The sequence below is a fragment of the Homo sapiens genome, chromosome 4 (genome assembly GCF_000001405.40).
Source record: "Homo sapiens chromosome 4, GRCh38.p14 Primary Assembly".
NCBI classification, from domain to species: domain Eukaryota; kingdom Metazoa; phylum Chordata; class Mammalia; order Primates; family Hominidae; genus Homo; species Homo sapiens.
The window spans coordinates 28,075,956-28,094,477 of NC_000004.12; the positions used below are offsets into that span (position 1 = coordinate 28,075,956).

The 18,522-nt window shown below is 37.3% G+C and overlaps 1 long non-coding RNA gene across 1 annotated transcript in view, besides 1 other annotated feature; it reads right to left on the reverse strand.

Moving 5' to 3' along the window:
* Nucleotides 1-18,522, reverse strand: part of LOC105374553 (uncharacterized) — an 84,694-nt gene that overhangs the window by 51,699 nt on the left and 14,473 nt on the right. The gene's annotated exons all lie outside the window — the stretch shown is intronic.
* Nucleotides 6,685-6,852: a silencer, noted in NCBI's record as "fragment chr4:28084262-28084429 (GRCh37/hg19 assembly coordinates)". NCBI's record gives its function as "represses an EF-1alpha promoter that drives an FKBP-Casp9 reporter gene in an ReSE screen in HepG2 liver carcinoma cells {active_cell/tissue: HepG2}" and the evidence as "EXISTENCE:reporter gene assay evidence [ECO:0000049][PMID:32094911]".

Here is an 18,522-nt window from a genome sequence, read left to right on the forward strand (position 1 = left end):
GTGAATGTTATAAACCTTCATAGATTTCTACCTCTTTCAAATTAAACGTATAAATGGTACTTGTTTATTTTTTCAAGTTTTAAAATTTCATCCTGAATATTATTTGGGCACTTTTTCATTATAAAGTGAACTTCAAACAAAATAATTAATTTCAGTTCACATTTCTAAAAAAATGGGTATAATGAATTCCTATTTTGTGATTTGACAGGAAGTTCTTTCAAAAGAACTTTAATGGCATTAGAAAATAAAATAATGAGATTTTAAAATAAATGAAAATTATTCCAAATTGATATATACTAATTGATTGTACTGCAACACAGTGTAAAACACTTTTTCCCCTTACAGGAAACAATTATTTTATCAACTATATTTTGTAATTATAATTCAGCAGTAAAATATTCTTTATTCCTGAAAGTTAAAGTAATAAAACACCAGAAAGTATATTTGGATAATCAATAGCATCTAGAGGTCAACACATTTTATGGTTCTGTAAAAATAATTGACTTACTATCCTCAAATTTTTCAAATAATTATGTTTTCTACATACTCTCTGCACTTTAAGAAACATTTTTAAAGTAATTATTACATATCTCTTTTCATAAAAAGTTATTTCTCCATAGGTAAAAGATTATTTTTAATTGCTCCTTTCTTTTAAATGTGAAAATACGGTAATTTAAAAATCAAAAGTTGATAAATATAATATATATTGCTTTTTTAAGAAAATCATTCATTTCTTAGAGTAGTACAAAGCACAAAGAAGCCTTTAATTTTTAAGGATATTAAGCAAGCTAGAACAAAAGAAAGTCAGTTATTGACCAGATAATAAAGTATTTGAATAAACAATACTGTATTAAGAGAGATAAGTTTTTAGGCAAATAAAACTTCCTCTGGAACTAAAAGTCATTTTTTCAGGATTCATGTATGGAATGATGGTGTGAGGAGATTCCCAGAGAAACAACAATAAATGTTAAAAATTATTTTAAATAACCATTACAACTTTCTGGGAGTCTGTTCCAAGATGGCCAAATAGGAAAAGCTCTGGTCTGCAGCTCCCAGTGTGATCGACGCAGAAGATGGGTGATTTCTGCATTTCCAACTGAGGTACCTGGTTCATCTCAATGGGACTGGTTGGAAAGTGAGTGTAGCCCATGGAGGGTGAGTTGAAGCAGGACAGGGCATCGCCTCACCCAGGAAGTGCAAGAGGTTGGGGGATTTCCCTTTCCTAGCCAAGGGAAGCCGTGATAGACTGTACCAGGAAAATCGGGACACTGCCACCTAAACACTGTGCTTTTCCAATGGTCTTAGCAAACGGCACACCAGGAGACTATATCCCACGCCTCGCTCAGTGAGTACCACACCCATGGAGCCTTGCTCACTGCTAGTCCGAGATCTAACTGCAAGGAGGCAAGCCTGGCTGGGGGAGGGGCACCCACCATTGCTGAGGCTTGAGTAGGTAAACAAAGCGGCCAGGAAGCTCCAACTGGGTGGAGCTCACCACAGCTCAACTAGGCCCGACTGCCTCTGTAGACTCCACCTCTTGGGGCAGGGAATAGCCTAACAAAAGGCAGCAGATACTTCTGCAGACTTAAACGTCCCTGTCAGACAGCTCTAAAGAGAGCAGTGGTTCTCCCAGCACGGTGTTTGAGCTCTGAGAACAGAGAGACTGCCTCCTCAAGTGGGTCCCTGAACCCCCTGTAGCCTAACTTGGAGACACCTCCCAGTAGGGGCTGACTGACACCTCATACAGCCAGGTGCGCCTTGAGATGAAGCTTCCAGAGGAAGGATCAGGCAGCAATATTTGCTGTTCTACAATATTTGCTGTTCTGCAGCCTCCGCTGGTGATACCCAGGCAAACAGGGTCTGGAGTGGACCTCCAGCAAACTCCAACAGACCTGCAGCTGAGGGACCTGACTGTTAAAAGGAAAACTAACAAACAGAAAGGAATAGCATCAACATCAACAAAAAAGACATCCACACCAAAACCCCATCTGTAGGTGACCATCATCAAAGACCAAAGGTAGATAAAACCACAAAGATGGGGAGAAACCAGAGCAGAAAAGCTGAAAATTCTGTTTTTTTTTTTTGTTTTTTTTTTTTTTTTTTTGAGGTGGAGTCTTGTTCTGTCGCCCAGGCTGGAGTGCAGTGGTGAGATCTCTGCTCACTGCAAGCTCCACCTCCCAGGTTCACACCATTTTCCTGCCTCAGCCTCCCAAGTAGCTGGGACTACAGGCACCCACCACCACGCCCGCTAATGTTTTTGTATTTATAGTAGAGACAAGGTTTCACCTTGTTAGCCACAGTGGTCTGGAGCTCCTGACCTCGTGATCCTCCTGCCTCAGCCTCCCAAAGTGCTGGAATTACAGGCATGAGCCACGGCACCCGGATGAAAAGCTGAAAATTCTAAAAACCAGAGTGCCTCTTCTCCTCCAAAGGATTGCAACTCCTTGCCAGCAGCAGAGCAAAGCTGGACGGATAATGACTTTGACGAGTTGACAGGAGTAGGCTTCAGAAAGTCAGTAATAACAAACTTCTCTGAGCTAAAGGGGGAGGTTCAAATCCATAGCAAGGAAGCTAAAACCTTGAAAAAAGATTAGACGAATGGCTAACTAGAATAAATAGTGTAGAGAATACCTTAAATGACCTGATGGAGCAGAAAACCATGGCACGAGAACTAGGTGATGCATACACAAGCTTCAGTAGTCGATTCAATCAAGTGGAAGAAAGGGTATCAGTGATTGAAGATCAAATGAATGAAATGAAGCAAGAAGCTTAGAGAAAAAAAAGTAAAAAGAAATGAACAAAGCCTCCAACAAATATGGGACTATGTGAAAAGACCAAATCTACATTTGACTGGTGTACCTGAGAATCATGGGGAGAATGGAATGAAGCTGGAAAACACTCTTCAGGATATTATCCAGGAGAATTTCCCCAACCTCACAAGGCAGGCCAACATTCAAATTCAGGAAATACAGAGAACACCACAAAGATACTCCTCAAGAAGAGCAATGCTAAGACTCATAATTGTCAGATTCACCAAGGTTGAAATGAAGGAAGAAATGCTAAGGGCAGCCAGAGAGAAAGGTCGGGTTACCCACAAAGGGAAGCCCATCAGACTAACAGCAGATCTCTCGGCAGAAACCCTACCAGCCAGAAGAGAGTGAGGGCCAATATTCAACATTCTTAAAGAAAAGAATTTTCAACCCAGAATTTCATATCCAGCCAAACTAAGCTTCATAAGTGAAGGAGAAATAAAATCCTTTACAGACAAGTAAATGCTGAGAGATTTTGTCACCACCAGGCCCGCCCTACAAGAGCTCCTGAAAGAAGCACTAAACATGGAAAGGAGCAAACAAATTCAAAAGCTAGCAGAAGGTAAGAAATAACTAAGGTCAGAGCAGAACTGAAGGAGATAGAGACCAAAAAAACCCTTCAACAAATCTACGAATCCAGGAGCTGGTTTTTCTGATCAACAACATTGATTGACCACTAGCAAGACTAATAAAGAAGAAAAGAAAGAAGAATCAAATAGATGCAATAAAAAATGATACAGGGGATATCATCACCAACCCCACAGAAATACAAACTACCATCAAAGAATACTATGAACACCTCTATGCAAACAAACTAGAAAATCTAGAAAAAAAAATGGATAAATCCCCGGACACATACACCCTCCCAAGACTAAACCAGGAAGAAGTTGAATCACTGAATAGACCAATAATAGGCTCTGAAATTGAGGCAATAATTAATAGCCTACCAACCAAAAAAACTCCAGGACAAGGAGGATTCACAGCTGAATTCTACAGAGGTACAAAGAGGAGCTGGTACCATTCCTTCTGAAAATATTCCAATCAATAGAAAAAGAGGGAATCCTCCCTAACTGATTTCATGAGGCCAGCATCATCCTGATACCAAAGCCTGGCAGAGACACAACAAAAAGAGAGAATTTTAGACCCATATCCCTGATGAACATTGATGCAAAAATTCTCAATAAAATACTGGCAAACTGAATCCAGCAGCACATCAAAAAGCATATCCACCAAGATCAAGTTGACTTCATCCCTGGGATGCAAGGCTGGTTCAACATATGCAAATCCATAAATGTAATCCATCACATAAACAGAACCAAAGACAAAAACCACATGATTATCTCAATAGATGCAGAAAAGGCCTTTGACAAAATTAAACAGCCTTCATGCTAAAAACTCTCAACAAACTATGTATTGATGGAATGTTTCTCAAAATAATAAGAGCTATTTATGACAAAGCCACAGCCAGTATCATACTGAATGGGCAAAAACTGGAAACATTCCTTTTGAAAACTGGCACAAGACAGGGATGCCCTCTCTCACCACTCCTATTCAACATAGTGTTGGAAATTCTGGCCAGGGCAATCAGGCAAGATAAAGAAATAAAAGGTATTCAATTATGAGAAGAGGAATTCAAATTGTCCCTGTTTGCAGATGACATGATTGTATATTTAGAAAACTCCATCATATCAGCCCCAAATTTCTTTAAGCTGATATGCAACTTCAGCAATCTCAGGATACAAAATCAATGTGGAAAAATCATAAGCATTCTTATACACCAATAACAAACATAGAGCCAATTCATGAGGGAACTCCCATTCACAATTGCTACAAAGAGAATAAAATACCTAGGAATCCAGCTTACCAGGGATGTGAAGGACCTCTTCAAGGAAAACTACAAACCACTGCTCAACGAAATAAAAGAAGACACAAACAAATGGAAGAGCATTCAGTGCTCACGGATAGGGAGAATTAATATTGTGAAAATGGCCATACTGCCCAAGGTAATTTATGAATTCAATGCCATCCCTATCAAGGTATCAATGACTTTCTTCACAGAATTGGAAAAAACTACTTTAAAGTTCATATGGAACCAAAAAAGAGCCCGCATTGCCAAAGCAATCCTAAGCCAAAGAACAAAGCTGGAGGTATCACAGTACCTGACTTCAAACTATACTACAAGGCTACAGTAACCAAAACAGCATGGTACTGGTACCAAAACAGAGATATAGACCAATGGAACAGAACAGAGGCCTCAGAAATAACACCACACATCTACAACCATCTGATCCTTGACAAAGCTGACAAAAACAAGAAATGGGGAAAGGATTCCCTATTTAATAAATAGTGCTGGGAAAACTGACTAGCCATATGTAGAAAGCTGAAACTGGATCCCTTCCTTACACCTCATACAAAAATTAATTCAAGGTGGATTAAACACTTAAATGTTAGACCTAAAACCATACAAATCCTACAAGAAAACCTAGGCAATACCATTCAGGACATAGGCATGGACAAAGTCTTCATGACTAAAACACCAAAAGCAATGGCAACAAAAGCCAAAATACACAAATGGGATCTAACTAAACTCAAGGGCTTCTGCACGGCAAAAGAAACTACAGTCAGAGTGAACAGGCAACCTATGGAATGGGAGAAAATTTTTGCAATCTACCCATCTGATAAAGGGCTAATATTCAGAATCTACAAAGAACTTAAACAAATTTACAAGAAAGAATCAAACAACCCCATCAAAAATTTGGCAAAATATATGAACAGACACTTCTCAAAAGAAGAAATTTATGCAGCTAACAGACACATGAAAAAATGCTCTTCATCACTGATCATCAGAGAAATTTAAATCAAAACCACAGTGAGATACAATCTCACACCAGTTAGAATGGTGATCATTAAAAAGTCAGGAAACAACAGGTACTGGAGAAGATGTGGAGAAACAGGAATGCTTTTACACTGTTGGTGGGAGTGTAAGTTAGTTCAACCATTGTGGAAGATGGTGTAGCGATTCCTCAAGGATCTAGAACTAGAAATACCATTTGACCCAGCAATCCCATTACTGGGTATATAACCAAAGTATTATAAATCATGATACTAAAAGACACATGCACACATATGTTTAGTGTGGCACTATTCACAATAGCAAAGAGTTGGAACCAACCCAAATGTCCATCAATGATAGACTGGATTAAGAAAATGTGGCACATATACATCATGGAATACTATGCAGTCATAAAAAAGGATGAGTTCATGTCCTTTGTAGCAACATGGATGAAGCTGGAAACCATCATTCTGAGCAAAGTATCACAAGGACAGAAAACTAAACACCACATGTTCTCACTTATAGGTAGGAATTGAACAATGAGAACACTTGGACACAGGGTGGGGAACATCACACACCAGGGCCTGTCGTGGGGTGGGGGGAGGGGGGAGGGATAGCATTAGGAGATATACCTAATGTAAACAATGAGTTAGTGGGTGCAGCAAACCAACACGACACATATATACATATGTAACAAACTTGCACGTTGTGCACATGTACCCTAGAACTTAAAGTATAATAAAATAAAAAAATGGAAATCACCTTAATGATATGCAAAAATGAAGACATATTTGTGAAAGATAATCTACTAAATCTCAGTGGTAAGAGCAGGGAGAGTCCCTGGCATGAGTCTTATTTATCCCATCCTCAACTTATTTATCCCATCCTCGACTCAGCATGATGGAAATTCCCCTGTGAAGGGCAGGTACAGCCCATATGATAGGAATCCCTCTTCCTAAAGTGCAAGAAAGAGAAGTCATCTGCATTTTTTATGCCTCCTCTACAGCTCTGTATAAGAAAGGCTAAAGTCCAGGAAAGTGTGATCAGACTATCAGGGGCTTTCTCCTCCACCCAGCACCCATTCATGGTATGGAGGCCTTACCCCAGGGATTGCAGGCCAAGAACACTGGGGCTCAGATTATCCTCACCTCAACTCACTCACAGGGATAAGCATCCACACTGGAAGAGAAAAGCCAAGAAATCCAGAGGCTACTGCCCCTTTCCAGTGTCCTGGAAATAAAGTGAGTGTGTCATTCTGAGGATAAGCAGGCCACTGTTATAGACACGAGTCCAGAGAACATGGCCAGACATGTTGCCAAGGGAAAGAGGACATTAAAACGCAGATATCTGTAACTATATCTATGGAAACTAGCTTTATTTGGGAAAAATGTATGAAGTTCAAGCATAAGAGTACTTCCCAAAAGAGTAGAGACTTTGGTGGGTTGTGAGCAATTAGGAGGAGGCCAGGGGCCCTGTGACAGCCACCATCAAAGCCTGACAGTTTACCAGTGTTAAAAGAAAACCTTAGCTGAGTTCAACTGAACACAGAATAATTGAGCAAAGAATGATTCATAAATTGGGCAGCCTCCTGAACAAGAGTTGGCTCAGAGACACTAGCACAACAACTTGTTGGAAGATTTATAGACAGAAAAAGGAAAGTGACTACAGAGAATGGAAGTGAAGTACAGAAATGGCTAGATTGGTTATAACTAAGCATTTGTCTTATCTGAACAGTATTTGAAGAGGTGGCCACTGTATTAGTCCATTCTCACACTGCTAATAAAGACGTAGCCAAGATTGGGTAATTTATAAAGAAAATAGGTTTAATTGACTCACAGTATAATATTGCTGGGCGACTTCAGGAAGCTTACAATCTTGGCAGAAGGGAAAGCTAAGATGTCCTTCTTCACATGGAGCAGCAAGGAGAAGTGCAGAGCAAAAGGGAGAAAAACCCTTATAAAATTATCAGATATTGTGAGAACTTACTCAGTATCATGAGAAGAGCAGCATGGGAGCAACCACCACCATGATTCAATTACCTCTCACCAAGTCCTTCCCACAACACATGAGGATTATGGGAACTAAAATTGAAGATGATATTTGAATGGAGATACAGCCAAACCATATCATTCCACCAAGGACCCTCCAAAATCTCATGCCCTTACATTTCAAAATCAATCATGCCTTCCCAGCAGTCCCCCAAAGTCTTAACTCATTCCAGTACTAACCCAACAGACCAAGTCCAAAGTCTCATCTTAGACAAGGCAAGTCTTTTCTGCCTATGAGCCTATAAAAACAAAAGCAACTTGGTTACTTATTAGATACAATGGGGACACAGGCATTGGGTAAATACAGCCATTCCAAATGGGAGAAATTGACCAAAATAAGTAGCTATAGGCTCCATGAAAGTCCATAATCCAATAGGGCAGTAGTTAAACCTTAAAGTTCCAAAATTATCTCTTTTGACTCCATGTCTCACATCCAGGTCATGCTGATGCAAGAGGTGGATTTCCATGGCCTTGGGCAGCTCTTCCTATGGCTCTGCAGGATACAGCCCCACTCCTGGCTGCTTTCATGGGATGGCATTGAGTGTTTGCAGCTTTTCCAGGGACACAGTGCAGGCTGTCAGTGGATTTGCCATTCTGGTGTCTGGAGGATGGTGGCCCTCTTCTCACAGCTCTACTAGGCAGTCTCCCAGTGAGGACTCAGTGTGGGGGCTCTGACTCCACATTTCCCTTCTGCACTGCCCTATTAGAGGTTCTTCATGAGGGCTCTGCCCCTGCAGCAGACTTCTGCCTGGACATCCAAGCTTTTACATACAACCTCTGAAATCTAGGCAGAGGTCCCCAAACCTCAATCCTTGACTTCTTCATATCCACAGGCCCAATACCAGGTGGAAGCTGCCAAGGCTTTGAGCTTGCACTCTCTGAACCCACAGCCTGAGCTGTATGTTGGCCCCTTTTAGCCATGGCTGGAGCAATTTGTTATAGGGGCACCAAGTCCCAAGGCTGCACACAGCAGGGCAGGTCCTGGACCCAGTCCAGGAATCCATTTTTCCCTCCTAGGCCTAGGGGCCTCTGATGAGAGAGGCTGCTATCAAGGTCTAGGACATGCCCTGGAGACATTTTCCCCATTGTCTTAGTGATTAACATTCAGCTCCTCATTACTTATGTAAATTTCTGCAGCCAGCTTGAATTTCTCTGCAGAAAATGGAGTTTTCTTTTCTATCACATCATCAGGCTGCAAATTTTCCAAACTTTTATGTCCTGCTCCCACTTCAATGGTTTGCCACTTAGAAATGTCTTCCACCAGATACCCTAAATCATCTCTCTCAATTTAAAAGTTCCATAGATGTCTGGGGCAGGGGCAAAATGCAACCAGTCTCTTTGCATAAGAGCAACCTTTACTCCAGGTCCCCATCTCCATCTGAAACCCCCTTAGCCTGGACTTCATTGTTCCTATCACTATCAGCACTTTGGTCAAAGCTATTCAACAAGTTTCTAGGAGGTTCCAAACTTTCCCCCATTTTCCTGTCTTCTTCTGAGCACTTCAAACTGGTTCAACCTCTTCCTGTAACCCAGTTGCAAAGTAGCTTCCACATTTTCAGGTATCTTTACAGCAGCACCCCACTCTACTGGTACCAATTTTAGTCCATTCTTACACTGCTTTTAAAGACACCCAAGACTGGGTAATTTATAAAGAAAAGAGGTTTAATTGACCCACAATTCAGCATGACAGGGGAGGCCTCAGGAAACTTGCAATCACAGCAGAAGGGGAAGCTAATATATCCTTCCTCACATGGGGACAGGAAGGAGAAGTACAGAGCAAAAGGGAGAAAAGCCCCGTATAAAACCATCAGATCTCCTGAGAACTCACTCACTGTCACAAGAACAGCACCATGAGAGTAGGCCCCCTCCATGATTCAGTTACCTCCCACTGGGTCCCTCTCAAAACACATGGGAATTATGGGAACTACAATTCAAGATGAGATTTGGGTGGGGACAGAGCCAAACCATACCAGGTCCTTTTAATTGGCCAAAACTCAGTGATTGCCATAAGAGTAGCATACGGTGTGTTTACACCTCCATTTAGGTTATAGCTCACTATGTACAGAGAAACCTTTTGGGCAAGATTAAAGTATGTAAGGAGGTGCCCTCTGGGGTCCTAATGAACTTCAAAGACCGTTCTCAAAAACTCCCCCTGCAAAGGGACCCACATTTAACTGCAGCTCAATATATGTTCCAAGACATTGTTAAAAACAACAGAGGAATCACTGGGCAAATATCAGAGCTTGACATCTGAGTATGATACCTGAAAAGGCAGATAGCTGCAAAGCGAGATTAGGGAAAGAGACAAAGAGAGCCCTCTAAAAACCAGTCATCCTAGGGTAACTAACTGAATCCTAAGACTGCACCTTCTGAGGAGCAATACCAGATAGTTCACATTGCAGGGGAAATGGACTTCACTAAAATACTTCAGCCAAGTTACTAAAGAAATAAGCAACAACAACAATAACAAGCCTTGAGGTAGAATTGGGGCAGAGGGGAGGTATCCATAGTTGCAACAGTATGTTATCTAAAATATTCAGTTTTCACAAAAAATTATAAGACAGGAAAAGAAACAAGACAGTGTGACCTACACATAGAAAAACAAGCAGGCAACAATACTGCCTGTGACATGTCTACAGTGTTTGACATAATAGAAAACAATTTTAAGGTAGCTATTATTTCAATGAAATGAAAGAACCCATGAATAAAGAAGAAAAGGAAAATATGATGACAAAGTCTCACCAGTATAGAATATTAATAAAGAGGTAGAAACTATAATAAAGAATCAAATAGAAATTGAGTTTAAAAGTACAATGATTGAAATGAAGAAGTTCACTGGAGAGACTCAACAATACATTTCACTACCAGCAGAACCAACCGGCATAGTTTAAGATATATCTATGCAATGTAAAGAACAGAGGGGAAAACAAGTGAAAGAAAATAAACAGAGCCTTAGAGAAACGTGAGACTGTACTAGGCACGCCAACATACACATAACAGGAGGACGAGAAAGAGAAGAGAGAAGTAAAGAGACTGTACTAGTTTCCTATTGCTCTTGTAACAAATTACCATAAACTTAGGGGCTTTAAACAACATACATTTGTAATTTTACAGTTCTGGAGGTTAGAAGTCTAAAATCCATCTTTTGGAACTAAATTCAAGGTGACATCAGGGCTGGAGGCTCTACAAGAGAGTCTGTTTTTTTTTTTTTTTTTTTTTTTTTTTTGCGTTTTCCAGATTCTAAAGGTTGCTGCGTGGCTTGGCTCAGGGCTCCAATTACATCCCCAACTAGGCTATTGTCTCATTTGTTCACTTACCTGAAACAAATGGAGTTTATAAATGACAAGAACTCTTCTAGATGCTGGAGTACTGTGATAGGTTAACTATGTCATTGATTTTTTGTCCTTCTCTCCAAAATAATGCATAGCTATACAAAAAAAAAATTGTCATGCTGCATATCACAATTTATTAAAATAAACAAATGAACAAGTAATTGTGCTACATATGGTTAAAATACAAACTTAATATAGTGTTATATAGAAATCAGAGTGGTAGTTCAAAGAGGGGAATTATGAACTCTAAATCAATCAAGTGTGGAACAAAAAAATAGGAAAAAGAATAATCCAGGGAAAAGGATAAAATTTCTTAGGACCTTGAATGATAAGTAGGACTTTTCAAAAGCTAAAACCTGGACAAAGTAATTTTTAGAAAGGAGAATGTTATTCACAAATTTAAAACAAATTGTTATTTGTTTTATTAATTAATTAATTTATTGTTTACTAATATTAATAAACAATAAAAATATTTATTAATATTAAATTATAATGAGAAAGTATGTTAGATAGATAAATGTGCTAATATTTAAGAGTTTTAATGCTAAGTTATGCAGTTAAATTTAATACAATTATACTTCATTTCTAAGAGCAAATGAGGGTCAATTCTCAGACATATTCTACACATGTCTTCATAATCTTCGTTATTAACATTACATTAATGCACATTTTGTGGCTTTTTTTCTTCCTCTACTTTACTTTCTCTTATTTTTCACTTCTGTTCAGTGGGTTCCCCATCAAAATGTATTACCTGCATTTAAATCCTTACCTTAGGTAGGCTTTTGAGATAACCAAAATTAAGAGAGATCATACTGGAAGTGGTCTTTCAGATAAGAGCTTTAGGGTGGTATTCAAGTGTAAAAACGTTTACTTGTTGGATTGCATCAAAGACACCATTGCCAATGGTATGTGGAGAGATGGTAACTCCCGGTAAGCTGTAGCATCATTAATATTAAATAATTCTTTTGTGTGTCAGAAGGCTCAAAGAGATGGTCATTTAGAGTGAATGCTTTACATGAAACCAAAGTACCCATTACATGTCTAAGTTCCCAGATGACAGTCTCTTAACTGGGGAAATTAAAAACACACTACTAAGATTGAAACCAGCGTATCTGAGTAGCTACGTTATTGTTTGTGGCTAAGATTTACAGTGGTACATCTTACATAAAATTAGTGTCCAGGCTACTGTTAATAGTTGCGTAAAATTGTATTTCCCAATGATGGCTACAGGTAGACAGGTAAAATATAAAGATATAGATATTCTACATAGGTATAAATAGAGAGATATATACCCCAGCTTATGTATTATTCCTACGTATTTTGCTGACACGTCTTCCACTGAGAATACTATCTTTGCTTCCACTACCCTCCTTAAAACTAGAAGAAAAAAAGAAATAGACAAATTTTTCAAGTAGAATTGGAAACTTCAACACCCACATTTCAGCAACTAATAGAATTACTACATAAAAATTATGTAAGAATATAGACCATCTGAACAACATATGCTACCAACATGATCTAATTGACTCATGTAGAATACTCTACCTAACAACACAATGCACTTTTTTTCAAGTTCCCATGACACATACACCAAGAAAAAACATTATTCTATCTTGAGCCACAAAAAAACGTAAACATATGTAACAAACCTGCACATTGTGCGCATGTACGCTAAAACTTAAAGTACAATAATAACAATAATAATAAAAAGTAAACAAATGCACTTCTAAATAATCCATGGATTAAAGTGGAAGACTCAAAGGAGATTTTTAGCAACTGAACTAAAATGAAATTGCACCATATCACAATGTGTGGGATGCAACAAAAGCAGGGCTGATTGGAATGCATTGCATTAAATTATTATGTTAAAAATCAGAAAAGATCACAAAGCAATAAGCTGTTTCTAACTCAAGAACTAGGAAAAAAAGCAAAATGCAAGAAAGAAAAAAACCAAAGCAAGAAAGAAGGATAAAAGATAAGAACAAGATCTGTGAAACTGAAAATAGGAAATATTAGAGTAATAAAACAACATTAATATATCCTCATAAGCAAAAAGAGCTAGCATCTAGAATATATAAAGAAAATTCAACAGTGAAAAAAGGCAAACTAAATAGAAAATGGGCAAAAGTCATGAATAGAGATTTTGCCAAAGTCACATAAACAGATGAAAATATGTTCAACGTCTTCACCCATCAGGGAAGTATGAATAAAAATCACATGAGATCACTATACACTTATCAGAATGGCTGTTTAAAAAAATAGTGATAGCAAAAAATTTTGGTGAGGATTTAAAGAAACTGAATCACTCATACATTGCTACTATAGCCACTCTAGGAACCAACCAGTTTGGTGTTCCCTATGAAACTAAACTTTCAATTTCTGTCAGACCTAGCAATTGCACTCCTGGGCATTTATCCTCCAAAAAATGATAACTTATGTTGACACAAAAACTTGTATATGAATGTTTATAGCAGCTTTATTTGTAGCAACTAAACTTTAGAATCAACCTACATATCTTTCATTAGGTGGAACATACATACCATGGAATGCTACTTGGCAAAATAAGGTAACTAATCTAATGAGGCACTCAATAATTAGAATAAATCCCCTAGTAATTATGGTGAGTGATAAAGATATATACTGTATGATTCCATTGATGTACATTTTTAGGTAGCATTTCAAAAATGACAAAATTTTAGAAATAGAGAAGAGAGTGGTCAGAGATGGAGAAAGAGAGAGATGGGTGTGGTTATGAAAAGCATAATTTGAAGTATCCTGGTTGTGTTGAGTCGGTTCAGAATCTTTACTGTGATGGTAGATACAGGAACAAACACAGGTGATAAAATTACATAGAACTTAATACACACACACACACACATACAAATGAGTGCAAGTAAAACTGAGGAAATCTGAATAAAATCAGTGGATTACACCAATGTCATTATCCTAGTTGTGATATTACAATATGGTTCTGCAAAATGTTACCATTAACAGAGGGCATAGTATACACATTATTTCTCAGTGTTATTTCTTACAACTGCATGGAATTGAACAATTATCTAAAAGAAAAATTTGAAAAACCCAAAATAACACAGAGAAGGCTGTGATTGTCACAACCAACAAAATAAAGCAGAGGTGTTACTATTTGACTTCAGAGGCTGGATCTCTTCCTCTCTCTCTCTCTCTCTCTCTCTTTCACTCTTCCTCTACACATACATTTGGAGCTCTGAGATACCCTGTAAAAAGTTTAACTTCCCTGAAACTGCCATACTGGGAAGACCAAGAGAAACAAGAAAATACCTGAAGAGTCCCAGCCGTTCTATTTTTTAGCTGTTTGAGTCTTTCAAGCCTCAGTGACAGGTATGAGTCGTGGAGTTATTATCATCTCTGAGGACAACTCTCAACCAATAGGAGGTGGAGCCTTGTGGTTACATGCACCGTTCTTTCCAGTACCTAATGAAATAATTCTGACCTGTATGTAAAAACTGGAATTTCCACAACTGTAATGTTAATATATGCTATACCAGCTTTTATCTTTCCCTCTTTCTTCCTATCTTCCTCACTTTTTTCTGTTCTGTCATTTCTGTTTCCTTGGTTTAACTTTCAGATAATCTAACTATTTCTAATTCTTTTCCTTCAAGTCTGATTTTTTAATAATTAAAACTCAAATCAAGACATCTTCAGGGGAATGAAAGAGTAAACTGCATTTCATACAAGATGATATTTCAGCAAAGGACCAAACATGCTGGTCAAGTCCTGAAGGAGACAAGGAAGAAAACTATGCAGATGTCTCGGAGCACAGTATTCCAGGTAGACAAATGTGCAAGTATTAGCAGATACAAATACTCAGAGGTAGGAGGTTGATAAAAATCCAGGAAGAGAATGGTTGGGTTAGAATCTGTAGGATTAGATTTTTATGATATGAGGTTGGTGTTAGAGATAAAGAATCACAGTGCCATGAGAAGGTGCTATGGATTATTGTCAGGATTTTAGTTCTTACTAAGGTTAAGATAATAACATGTTGGTAAGTACTAAAAAGGAAATGATAGGATGTAATTTATACTGTTTTAAAAGTATCATATGTCTACTTTGTGAAGAAAAGAATAATAAAAAACAATTGCATTAGTGGGAAAAATTGGGAGGAGACTTTTAAAATCTAGCTGGAAATATGATGACAGGGGCTGGAATCAAGTTTGTAGCAGAATCATTTTGGACAAATATCATTAGAAATGGTAAATTTGGAATGGGAACATAATATAAAGAGAACATGCAAGCATTATTCTGCACTTTTGAGGTGAGTAAATAGAATTGAGTTGGCAATTACTAAAATGGGAGACTTGTTTAATCTGTAGGTTAAACAAGTTTAGAAGGCATGATTAGACATGTTAATTTGGAGATATCTATTATATATTCAAATGAAGTGCCTGATAGGCAGTTGAAGATATAAACCTGGACTTCTGGGAAGTAGCCAAAGTTGGGTGTACACCTATTCAAATTTTCAGATTATAGAATAAATCAAAGTCATGAGTGGGCAAACTCGTACTGAGAAGTAATGCTGGTAACAAAGAAAAGAAGTCTAAGAACTGAGCTCTAATCTTCAACGTAAAGAAAATGTTACGGAGGATAAGAAAAATGGTGCAACTGAGATTGAGAAGCAGTCAGTGAGATAAGGAAAAAAAGCAGATAGATGAGTCTCTTTCTATAACAGTAAAAAACATATTTTAAGAAGCACTAATGAAATGTGTCTAAATCTACTGAGACATCATGTAAGACAGTTTACTACTAAATTTAGCATTGTGGAAATCATCATTAGGGACCTTTTCCAATATTGATGGAAAGGTGGGGGGGCGTACACCTGATTACAATGGTTTTAAATAGAAAACAATTGAAACTGGCAAGTTCAAACAACTCTGCAGAAATCTGCTGAAAATCTAAGGTGAATAAATTGCATTTCCAGTATCCTCTTTCCCCAAGAAATCATGTGTTAGAGGATTTATTATCACTCTCAATTTACAAAAGAGGAGACTGAGGCTTCGGCAAATTAATTTATTGAAGTTCCTGAGAGAATACATCTATAGGTTCTACTACTTGCTTAATGTGGTTTAAACATATTTCTAGATAAATTCCATGCAGATTGCAATTTTATTGCTGCTATTTCATTTATATGTCTCTCTATCCTCACCTTTTCCTCTGACTTTCTATGACTTTCTTTTAGTGCAAAACTCTAAAAATTGGATTCAGTAAAGTTGCAAAAGAGTGTGGGGCAGTGTATTTCATTGTAATCAGAAAAACATCTTGCACCATTAGATAATTAGTGATTGATTATTCACTCATTCTTATACATAATCCCTATGTATTATCTGATTTCACTTTAGTAAAAACTATACCAATTATTTTGTGCTGCTCCTTTGCTATGTACAATATCCAGAGGATTACTTTAGATCTTTCATGCATTTGTGTACTGAGTTGCTTATTATTACAATAACATAAAGCATTCATGAGACTGTGCTGAGCCTAAAAACAAGGACAAGTCTTAAAGTTTTAAGACTCTAAGTATTTGAACTTTAAACAAGCCTTAAAAGTTCTAAGTATTAGGTCAAGTGAAACAATACCAGTTTGCCCAAAGCATGAAGAGAAGGAAACGAGACCATCTCTAATAAGAAAGTGATAAGTTGGAAGAATGGACAGAGACACTGATAAAGATGATTCATTTTCTTGATTATTCAGATTTTAGGTAAACTTATGATTCATAGACAATATTTGGAAATATGAGAATGTTCCTATTTTGCTGCAGAACACTTTTCTGTTGGATATCCATTCATTCAGCAAACATTTATTGTGCTCTTGTGACTCATACATTCTTTCATTCAACAAATATTTATTGATTGCCTACTATATGCCAGTGTTGTGCTAGACATAAAAGAGAAAACAATAAAAAGTCAGATACAGTCTGTCATCATGGACTTAAACCATAGTGGGAAGAAAAACATTGAAGTATTTAGTTATAGAACAGGAAATTTAGTACACTAAATGAAGCCTAATCATATTAATCAGTTTTCTTTGTTTTTGTTCTTTTTTTAGGGATGTTATTCCAGAGCACCAGGAAGAAGTTTCTGTAAAAGTGAAGATACCTCACAGTCTGGTGTCTGTTATTAAATGCAAAGAGTGACACAATGACAGAGGACTGGTCTTCTGTTCTCTTTCTACAAAACTTTACCTTATTTACTCAGAGCTAATTCAATAGCAGGTGTGTGATTGCATGTGATTTGGCCTAACATTTTTGTCATTTATCATTTGTCACGGGTCCATTTTGAAGCATCTGTTTGCTTGTCTGCAGGTAATTTGCGATTTGTCAAAAACATTAGGAGCAGTTGACACAAATCATGTGTTGCCTGGTAAATGTCTTTGTATTTATTGGAGCTGTGGTCCTTTCCGTTTGTTTTTATTTAAAATACATCTGTGGAGTCACACAAGAAGGTCAAGATCAGTGTAGGGAATTGATCACACTGATTAATTTCAAACTTTAAGGAGATAAGTGGATTCATATAAATATACACTTGATAGTTGACTCAATTATGGTATGTCATTCTCCATAGTGCAATAAGTACTTTTAAGTACTTAATTCTAGCATCAGACTATATGAGATTATCCTCCAGCTCTATCATTCACTAAAAGAAGAAGAAAACAATATATCTATCTATCTATATAACTCTATCTATCTATGTATCTATCTATCTATCTATCTATCTATCTATCTATCTATCTATCTACCTATCTATAGAGAGAAGAAACAAATGCTCTTGAAAACTTGGGACATTTACTATCCAAGGAACAACAATCTACGTTTGGGGAGAAAATGGCAGATACACTGCTTCCCACTAAGCTACTAGAAGGTACAGGTTTCAGAATCATCAATAACAGATAAAGTCCATTTTTTATTTTAAAAAACTGAGATAACTTTCCCAAAAGGTGGGTTTCCTGAGCCTGAGTTATTTTATAGCAGAAGCCAGTGGAAGAAACAAATATGGCCTAGGACTGAAAATGTCTACTCACAAGTGGTATGTCAATAAAATTATTTACTTTAAGGCAAGTATGATGGGAAAACAACAATAATAAAAACAATAGCACCTATATATTATATATAGTGTGTGTATGTGTGTATACATATATACACACATATATACATTTATATATATACACACATATATACGTGTGTATATATATATAGTGTGTATGTGTATATATATAGTGTGTGTATGTGTGTATTATATATAGTGTGTATGTATTATATATAGTGTGTATGTGTGAATTATAGTATAGTGTGTATGTGTGTATGTATGTGTGTATGTATGTATAGTGTATGTATAGTGTGTATGTGTGTATGTATGTGTGTATGTGTGTATTATAGTGTATGTGTGTATGCGTGTATTATAGTATAGTGTGAATGTGTGTATTATATATAGTGTATATGTGTACTATATATAGTGTATATGTGTGTA